The 10,373-nt window shown below is 43.0% G+C and overlaps 1 annotated feature.

The window, feature by feature from the left end:
- Positions 8,514–9,214: an enhancer, noted in NCBI's record as "OCT4-NANOG-H3K27ac hESC enhancer chr14:23963206-23963906 (GRCh37/hg19 assembly coordinates)". NCBI's record gives its function as "activates a minimal SCP1, AML or CMV promoter by ChIP-STARR-seq in naive H9 embryonic stem cells {active_cell/tissue: H9 hESC(naive)}" and the evidence as "EXISTENCE:reporter gene assay evidence [ECO:0000049][PMID:30033119]".

Here is a 10,373-nt window from a genome sequence, read left to right on the forward strand (position 1 = left end):
GTTGAGGAATCTAGCTTGCTGGGATGGTATTAGCATTTCCGCAGGCCTTACACAGGCTAGCCTACTACAGGGGCCTCCAGAGTACCAAGGCAGGGAATGAATTCCCATTCCAGATTTAATTTGACCTTAACTGCTGGCTAGTATACCCCTTCTGCTAAATACCTTGGAGCTGGATGGCACTTGGTGGTGGATGCTGGAACTCTGGACGCTCCATTCTCTCTGTGCTGATCTTCCGCAGCAAACTCTTCAGTCCCAGGATCACTTAAATAACAAAAGGTTCTATGGACCACCCCCTTCCACTAGTGCTGATAACTCTAAATCTTACATCATTTTGTTCTAGTGTAAAACTACCATTGTGACTATATTAATACATTTTCTTATAATTTTTATTGTTAGTTAAAGCTTAGAATAGAAAATAGGCTTAGAAAGCATTTGTATGTACCACTTTGAGCCAATGGTACCTTACCCTGAGAACTGCTTTGTTTCATTTCCCAGCCTTGGGTTTAGCCCCACGGGTGGGCTCTGGAGAACAGAAAGCCCCTGAGTTTCTATTTCCTCTCTCCCAATTTTGATTTACTCACTGCTGACTCTTACAGGAAGCCCTAGGTGGTAAAGAGATCAAATCAGAATTCCTAGCCAGGAAAACCCTGTCTCTTAGTTACAATGACCCTTCTCTGTACTGCATTCAGCTCTGTGGCTGTTAACACCAGAAAACCTTCATCTGGCTTCACACCCTCCTTCTTAGTTTCCTTCAGTCAAGTCTTATGTAATCTGTCACTGATGGCAGACTTCCTTCTTACCCTCCTTTTGTAGTCCCCCCGAGGCTTCGAGCCACAAAGCTTCCTAGATGCCTCCCACCAAAGGGGTGCTTTCTGAAACCAAACCTTTTCTGTCTTTCTCAGCCCTCATATCCTCACATCAGTCCCCTACTGGACACATTTCCCCTGAGAGTATCAGGGGACACTCCTAGAGAGCCACTAGGTACTGCTGCAAATCCCATTCCTCACCCATCTCCCCGCTGGAGCTCCTGGAATCAGATTTTGCAGTTTCCTGTCATTCTAGCCTCCTTTTCTGTTCATTTGGAAGATTTTCTCCATTGCTTTTGATAAATTCCTGGTTTGGTAGAAATATCCAGTTTTTAGGAAGATCTTGTGGGATGGGTTCCCTGTCTCCGGCAGCTTGGTTGCCCCTCAGAAAGATCTGCTCCTGCATTCTGCCTGCAATGCTGCCATTGCCCTCTGCCTGGCCTAGGCTGTGTGGGATCAGTATGTGGAGTCCTCTGCATAGACATTCCATCCCTCTTTATCCATCTTGGCAAACAAAGCATCGCTGTGCCCCTAACTTCCTCCTCTTCCTTCTCCTCCATCATTTATTTCTTCTTTGCTTTCCCTCACTTCTCCCTTTCTCTCATGGATACCCTTCCTTTAAATCTCCTTCTTGTCTGTTTGCTCCCTGTTGCCCATCCATGCCCACTCCCCCCATCTTTCATTTTGAATAGCTATCTTCCTCATCGCCTGCTCTTGCTGAGCAAACAGCATGCTGTGGGAAGAATGGCAGCAGAGTAGGTCCCTGGTTGCCAAAGTAAGCTATCCCTTTTCTCCAGAAGATCAGTGCTATGTTTTCCCATCTTGTCCTCAGTGATCCTTAAGAGCCAGGGAACCCCAAGATTCTGACTCTCTCTTGGGACGAACAAGGTCTCTTGGCTTCTTCCAGTGTTGAAGAGGAGAGGAATTATTCGGTTCAGATGTCCCATTCTTTGGCTCCTGAGTGTGGGTATGTCCATGTCTCTCCCTTTCTTTCTCTTGTTTTCGCTTTCTGTCTCTCCCCAGCACAAAGCAGCGGCAGGACTGAATGAGCCTGTCTAGAGACTCTGCCAGCCTATGCCCCTCACTTTTGTCCCTCCCCTCTCACTGTGCATGCTGTTGGTGGGGGGGGGGGGGGGCAGAAGGGGGTTTGGAGGGCGGTGGCATGATGCCAGCCAACCCAGAACCATCTGTGGTGCCTTCTGCACTGTAGCGGGCGCTGTCTGTCCCGCCCTCCTCCTCTCCCCCTCTTCCTCTCTCATTTTTAATTAGGTGCTGAATTAATTAAATCCCACATGCTAATTAACATTCCTACAGGGAAGAATGCCAGGTCAGAAAAATGGGGGGTGGTGAAACAAGGCTTTTGTCCATTTAAGAGAGGATATTTAGGGATGGGAAGGTAGGGGGAAGAGGAATAAAGGTTGAGGTGGAAAGAACAATCTAAGGGTGGAAAGAAACCTGAGATAGGTATAAAGAGATGGAGAAGGGAAATCATGGAACCTATTAAAAAAGAAAAAATTAGAATTATTAGCACTGGAGAAATGAAACCTGAAGCTTCTAATGGTTAGGAAGTAGAGCCGTGAGTCTCAAGCATTAGTGTGCATGAATAACCTGAGAAATAATGACACAGGATGCTAATTTGCTGCCTTGAATGTCTTCTAAAGAAATAAATTTCAATTTTAACAGGAGTAATTTAGGTTAGAAATGAAGGAGAACTTCCTTATTTCAAGGCAGTGGGACACTTTACTAAAGGAACTCTAGAAGGTAAATTCTTATCTGCTCAGAATGGTTAAAGTTTGCCCAAAGCCAGGGGAGGTGATGCACTTTGAAGATTTTTTTCTAGATAAATACTGATCCTGTAGTGTGTACTGTGTCCTGGAGCACCAAGAAAATCCAGGATGGGGAAATTCAGGATTCATCCTCAGTTCTCTTTTCTCATTGCATCCAGGGTGAACTTTGACCTTGCTCTCTATGGTCCTATCAACTTTTTAGGGATGAACCTTCACTTTAAATTAGGTCATTGCTTCTCTGGGAGGTTTAGGGCACTGATTCCTAGCTAGGACTTCAGATGGCTGTCTAATGGCTAGCATGAATTCTCTTCTTGGCTGAGGGGTTGACAGACAGGAGAATGACGAGTTCTGTATGGGGCCAGAAGAAGGGGGGATGGGATGGTGTGGATTGACAAGAGTATGGCCGGCACAGAGGACTCCACTGTGAGGTGTGACCTAGCCTGAAAAAAAGTAGGGAAAGCTTGCTTGTCATTGCTTTTTTCCTCTGAAAGGTAAAAGAAAACTATGCTTAGTACAGATCTAAACTCTCCCTTGCCTCCCCTGCTCCCCCACCAATAAATGATGTCTGGAAGGTATCCAGCAAGTTAGCAGATCCTTCTGATGGCCCTTAACCCAACCTTTTTCAGTCTGAAATGCATCAGGGGCAAGTACTATCTTATATCCCTCTCACCACCATTCATTTAATTAGATGGCATTGCCCACCACCATTATTCCTGCTATAATAATCAATTAACTCAAAAATGTTGGCATATTAAACACCTACTATCTCTGTCAGACACATTAAGCATTAGGGTTAGATACAAAAATAAGGAATGAGGTAGAACTGCTATATCTGAGGGGTGTATATATTCCAGTTTAGTGGGGTGGGGAAAGGATGTACACAGTGAAGTGTGGTAACTTGGCCGGGCATGGTGGCTCACACCTGTAATTTCAACACTTTTGGGAGGCTGGGGTGTTAGGATTGCTTGAGCTTAGGAGTTTGAGACCAGCCTGGGCAACATAAGGAGACCCTATCTCTGTAAAAAACACAAAAAAAAAAAATTAGCCAGGTATAGTGGCATGCACCTGTGATCTTAGCTACTTGTGAGGCTGAGGTTGGAGGATCGCTTGAGCTCAGGAGGTTTGAGGCTGCAGTGAGCTGTGGTTCATGCCACTGCACTGCAGCCTGGGTGACAGAGTGAGAACCTGCCTTAAAAAACTCAACAAAGTGCTGGGTGCGGTGGCTCACACCTGTAATCCCAGCACTTTGGGAGGCCAAGGCGGGCGGATCATCAGGTCAGGAGATCGAGACCATCCTGGCTAACATGGTGAAACCCCGTCTCTACTAAAAATACAAAAAATTAGCCGGGCGTAGTGGCGGGCGCCTGTAGTCCCAGCTACTCAGGAGGCTGAGGCAGGAGAATGGCGTGAACCCAAGAGGCAGAGGTTGCAGTAAGCTGAGATTGCACCACTGCACTCCAGCCTGGGCAACAGAGTGAGACTCCGTCTCAAAAAAAAAACAAAAAACAAAAAACGCTCAACAAAGTGCAGTAACTCATTCTGCCGTTCTGCATATACATATGAACATACAAATATGAACTCCTGTAGCACTTGTTGCCTGTGCTCCTTTTTTATATATTGTTACTTATTCATTCTTACATATATGTGTCTTATCTGACCCCAGAGATGGGGGTCTTTTTGATGGAAGAAACACAGGGCTTCAGAGTGAGGTCCAAATGCACTAGCTTAAAGTCTTACATGTTAGCAGCTGTTCAGTAAATTTGTTGATTAATATATAACCGTTTATCAAGGTGGAATCATTGCTTTAGAGTCTGTGACATTCCTAGTTGTGGCAAGTATTTGTCCTCTGAAGGGAGCTCTTATTTTTTAAAAGTTGCAAAAAGTATGATGGTGAGTAAGATATAATTATGTGATGAACAAGAAAGGTAACTGAATAGGATAAATTGCTTAGGTTCCTAAATGGGAGTTGAAGCCAGCCTGGGTGGCTAAATAGGGGCAGTTCCTAAATAGGGGCAGGCCTGAAGAAAGGCAGTGGAGAGTGAAGAGAAAAGGGCACAGGTCTGTGTTTGTATGTACTATAGTTCCTTTCACTTTTTTGTAGATATTTCCCCCCCATCTTCCTACTCCAAAATTATGATTAGGCAACTTATACACATTTATATTGTTTTGTTCCTTAACATTGTGTCATCTTTTCCTATACTATTAAAAAATCATATTAAAAACATACTTGGGTTAGCATGGTGGCTCACACCTGTAATCCCAGCACTTTGGAAGGCTGAGGCAGGAGGATTGCTTGAGCCCAGGAGTTCAATACCAGCCTGGCAACATAGGGAGACCCCATTTCTACAAAAAAAAAAATACGAAAAATTAGCCAGGCATGGTGGCTTGTGCCTCTAGTCCCAGGTACTTGGGAGGCTGAGGTGGGAGGATCGCTTAAGCCCAGGAGGTCAAGGCTGCAGTGAGCCATGATTGCACTACTGCACTCCAGCCTGGGCTATAGAGCAATATCCTGTCTAAAACAGAAACAAAAACATGCTTAATGAACATGTAATATTCCATCATGGATATACCAAAATTTGTAAAACCATTTCTTATTTGTTAGACATTTAGAATGTTTCCAGGTTTTTGTTGTTTAGTTAGGTTTTCTTCCTTTTACGATGACATTCACATCTTTATACATAAGTCTCTAGTTTTCTGAAGAGGAATTTCTGGCACAAAGCATAAAGACCCTCATTCTAGTCTGTAGATTGTGTTAGATTCACCTGGGAAACTTATTATTATTTAAATTTTTTAAGGACTTATTTTTTGAATAGGTAAAAAATTTAAACACTATGAGAGGGAATGCAATGAAATTTTCTGCCACTTTTGCCCCTTGTCTCCCCTCCATAAAGGTGTTCTATTCATGTATGAGTACATGTGAAGATACTGAAGATCTGCACACAAAAAAATAGAGATTATTTTGATCCTCCCTCCCGGAAGTTCTAATTCAGTCTGAAATGAAGCATTGGAATATCCCCCCACTCCCAAAGCTTTCTAGCTAATTCTACTGCGTAGCCAAATTTGGGAACTACCAGGTTAGATGAACTTCTACGTAGGATCCTTTCCAGCTCTAAAATTTAATGACTGAAACTCACAGAATTCATAATTTTAAAAAGAGTGATGGTTAATATAAAAAGCCATAATCAAGTGTCATAAAGATTCTCTTGGAAATGATCTCAGGGATCCAGTTTTTTATACTGAATTTATTATTAATAATAATACAAATAATGGCTACCATCTGTTGAGTGCTTATTTGTGGTGAGCTCTGTGGAAAGTGCTGTATACATTTTCACTTAAACTTCATAGCACCCCATGAGCCAGCTAGGTAATTCTAGAGGCTTCGGGGAGATTAAGCAGCTTGCCAGTAATTGTGGGACTAGTAAGTGGCAGAGTGAAGATCTGAACTCATGCCTCTTACTGTAGGCTAATATTCGTCCTCCCGCATTCCCTTCCCCCAACCATGAGATTAATAATATAGATAAGAGAATACCCCTTTCATCCTCACCCCCAAATTCTTGTAACCAGTGTTATCAAATTAGTGTATGTCCTTCTGGATCCCCTTCTGTGCATTTATTTACGTAGAAGAGTATTACATGGTTTTGTGAGTGTTTTGAAGTTGTTATTTTATTTTTAGATAACTGGAAGCACACTGTAAAGAGGGTTATACCATACTTGCTTTTTTACTCTTAATAATATACCTTGAAAATATTTCTACCTGAAGATATAATATTGGCCGGGTGTGGTGGCTTATTCCTGTAATTACAGCACTTTGGGAGGCTGAGGCAGACAGATCACCTGAGGTCAGAAGTTTGAGACCAGCTTGACCAACATGGAGAAACCCTGTCTCTACTAAAAATACAAAATTAGCCGGGCATGGTAGCGCATGCCTGTAATCCTAGCTACTCGGGAGGCTGAGGCAGGAGAATTGCTTGAACCTGGGAGGCGGAGGTTGCGGTGAGCCGAGATTGCGCCATTGCACTCCAGCCTGGGCAACAAGAACAAAATTGTCTCAAAAAAAAAAAAAAAAAAAGGTAATGTTATTCTAAGGAACTAATGTCTCCAGTTCATGTAACTATTTCCCTAATGGTGGGAATTACTATAAGCAGTACTATTAGAAAGAATGTTGGAATATTTTGTCATAAATGCATAGAAGTAGACTTGCTGGAGAGAAGTTTTAAATGTTAGTGGAGATGGAAGTTCCCTCCAAAAACGCTAAACCATGCTAGCAAGGGAAATGGTACTCTAATATACTGCTAGTGGAAGTCTATGAGAGTACCGTTTCCCTTGCTAGCATGGGACAAATGGTTGCTCCTCACCTGAATTTGCTTTATGTTAATTGCTTCTACTGGATGGTCTCTTGCAGAAAAAGCCAAATATTGACAGATCTCTTTTGATTAAACTCTAGGGTAACTTTCCCCTATTATTTCTGACCTCTGTCTGCACCTGTTCTCTGAGATACATAGTCTTTTTTTTTCTTTTTGAATCAAGTGTCTACATTTTATGTCTTTTCTGAACATCCTTGTGCCTGTCTGCATTTCCCTTTTTTAGTCACTATTATGCCTGGAATGGTTTAGGTATAACTCTGCTTAGAGTCAAAATGATTTCTCTTAACTACCTATCAGCACTGGTGGGGGTGAGGAATTATATAACACTTTAACACATTGCTTATTTTCTGTTTTAACACTTTGTTTGGTAAATATTGTTTTGCCCTATGTGTGATCTGTTTGGAATGTGAGTCAGGCTGCCTTTGAACAGAAGCCACTAAAGGGTGGGATCAGAGTGCTTGTGTGTGCTCATCAGTTCAGCAAGAGGCCTCTTGATTATAGGGCAGCACTGGCTAGTGCACAGTGAAAATGGGCCTGCCCTAATGAAAAGGGGTACAGTCACCTTCAAGCCCTACTGACTTTTGGATTACACACAGGAACAAATAAACAATAACTAAAAATAAGTGAGAAGTAATGAATATTGTTTGCTACTTTAACAACTTCAGTTGCCTTAGTAGTTATTACAGAAAAAATAAAGGGGGTAGATACATTCAGGAAGGCTTCTATTCTTGAAGGCCTTTTTTGACTTTCCTCCTGTGTGAGTAATGGAGGAATAAATGTGTGGAGGGAGGGAGGAAGAGGCCTCTTCCAGCACCAGGGATCTAGGATCCTTGAATAATTGGAAATGTTTGCCACTGTGGCCATAAAAAGTTCAAGTTGGGCTATTTAGCTTCTAGATCTTGATGCTATGAACAGATCAATGAAGAAAAACTGACATTGAGGGATCATTTAAGAAACTCCAGAGCATTAGAGCTGAGAGGGAATTTGGAGGTCATTTACAATGGCATATGGCTTAATGGGGTTTGGAATCTGAAAAAACTGACCTTGAAACTCAACCACATCCTAGCTGCATAGCTTTTGGCAAGTTGCCTACCCTCTCTGAGCCGCAGTTTCTTCATTTGCAAAATAAAGATAATAACTACTTCATAGGATTGTTTTATTTGTTTTTTTGAGATGGAGTCTCACTGTCACCCAGGCTGGAGTGCAATGGCACAATCTTGGCTCACTGCAACCTCTGCCTCCCGGGTTCAAGCAATTCTCCTGCCTTAGCCCCCCGAGTAGCTGGGATTATAGGTGCACACCACCATGCCCAGCTAATTTTTGTACCTTTAGTCGAGACAGGGTTTTGCTGTTGTGGCCAGACTGGTCTCGAACTCCTTGACCTCAGGTGATCTGCCTGCCTTGGCCTCCGAAAGTGCTGGGATTACAGGCATGAGGTACCGCGCCTGGCCACTTCATAGGATTTTTATGAGAAATAGAAATAAGTATAAAGCATTTCCCAAGTTGCCTAGTATGTAGAAGGTACTCATTTGGTTATCAGATGGGCCGGCACCTTCATTTGGATGAGGAAACTGGTTCAGAGAAGTGAAGTAGCCAGCTTGAGGTCACAGACCTTGTGAGTAGCAGAGGCAGGCCCAGAATCTAGATATCTTGACTTTTCGTCCAGTTTCCTTTCTACCACACTACAATACAGGCTTCTTTCATTTATTCTTTAGTTTAAAAAGAAAAAAAGCAAAAACATGCTGCTGCCACCGCCCCCACCCCACATGTGCGCATCCTCATCCTTCTTTGTCTTTCTTTGTGTATAGGGAGATAATTGGGATGGGAACCCCACGGAGGTACAAGATAGGAAGAAATACTCAGTAGGGGAGATTTAATTGACTGGCTTATCAGAAGGCCTTGCTGGCAGTAAACCAGTCATCTTGGATCCATGTCTGGCATTAAGCAGTGAGGAATGTACTTTGAGCTCTTCCACTCCCCTCCCCCTTTTTTCCTACTGTGCTCACAGGCTCTGGTTGGCTGGGACTTCCAAATGGATGAGGCTGATTTGCGCTGGTATCCTATTGGTCAGCTCTTGTTTCCTCCTAACCAGGAGCTGCTGAGAGAGGAAAATAGCTGGTTGGCCTTTGGGATATTTTTTCTGCATTTTGCAGAGGGAAGAAGGGAGGAGGATGTGAAACTGGAAGGTCCAAGGCTGAGAATCTTGCCTCAGCAAAAGTATGCAAGTGTCTTTGGGAATCACTGGCTCCCATATTGCTAAATTCTGTACAGAGATTGTCCTGGATGGATTAAATTGGCAACACTTACCCACTCTCCTTTTAGAGCTAACTTCAGGGGACTGTCGTGTCTTATGCTAACTACCACGGCTGCTGTCTTCACTGTGGTACCTTGAGCCCTGGACCGTTACCTGCTTTTCTTGCCCTATTTTATATTTTCCTACTTCTATTCCCAAAGGGCCTTATTTTCTGTTAGGAGACAGTGAATAGTGATGTTAGCTAAGTGCTGCTAATGAGTTTGATTGCTCATGGTATCCTTCCCAGGTGATGTCATGCCGTAATTTAGGTAAGAGTAGCACATCTGTCTACAGAGGATTCTAAGGAAATGACTCTAGGCATAGGTAATTTGGGCAGCATGATATCTGCAACAGGTAGCATTTGCTAGGCACTCAATAACTCTGAGTGCTGCTTTTTGTATTAGGCACTGTGCTAGGTGCTGGGCTTAGACAAGAGCCCTCTCACAGAGGAGTTCATAATTTGGAAGAAAGATGGGCGTGTTTGAATGGTCATTACAATATAGGGTATGCTCTGGAGTGGACTGTCTGTTTAAAGTACTATGTAAGATCAATGGAGTGGATCCATAAGACATGACAGAGAGATTTGGGGGCCTTGGTCCAGGACTATGGTATTGGGGCTGGGGCTGTACTTTAGCTGTCTGTAGACTCAGGGTCGTATGGAAACCTGGTATGATGGTAGATGCATTCCCCTCTTTTGAGGAGAATTTATTGGAGCAGAAACCTTGATAACATCATTGGGTCACACATGGGGTTAGGAATACTCTTCACATGCAGTCTGGTATGGTAAAGTGGCAAGAACCCTAACTGGGAATAATAAGACCTAGGTTCAAGTCCCAGTTCTCTTACCTAGAGCTGGATCGTAATCTATAAGCTGATTGAGTACCTCCTATGTGCAAAGAGGGTATAAGAATTGGACTTACAAAACTTCTTTCCTGATCCCAAGAGCCCATGATGAAGTTTCAAGGCAAAGCTTAAAGGGATTAAAAAGGAGGAAAAATTAAGTGATTCAGTAACTACTATTAAAACAACTTAATTGCAGGAATTGGGATACTCATAATTACATCTCTCTCTTTTCTTAAAAAATAGGTACTCTATAGCTCCTTACTTGGAGCTAGATACTTAG

Source organism: Homo sapiens, chromosome 14 (genome assembly GCF_000001405.40).
Source record: "Homo sapiens chromosome 14, GRCh38.p14 Primary Assembly".
NCBI classification, from domain to species: Eukaryota; Metazoa; Chordata; class Mammalia; order Primates; family Hominidae; genus Homo; species Homo sapiens.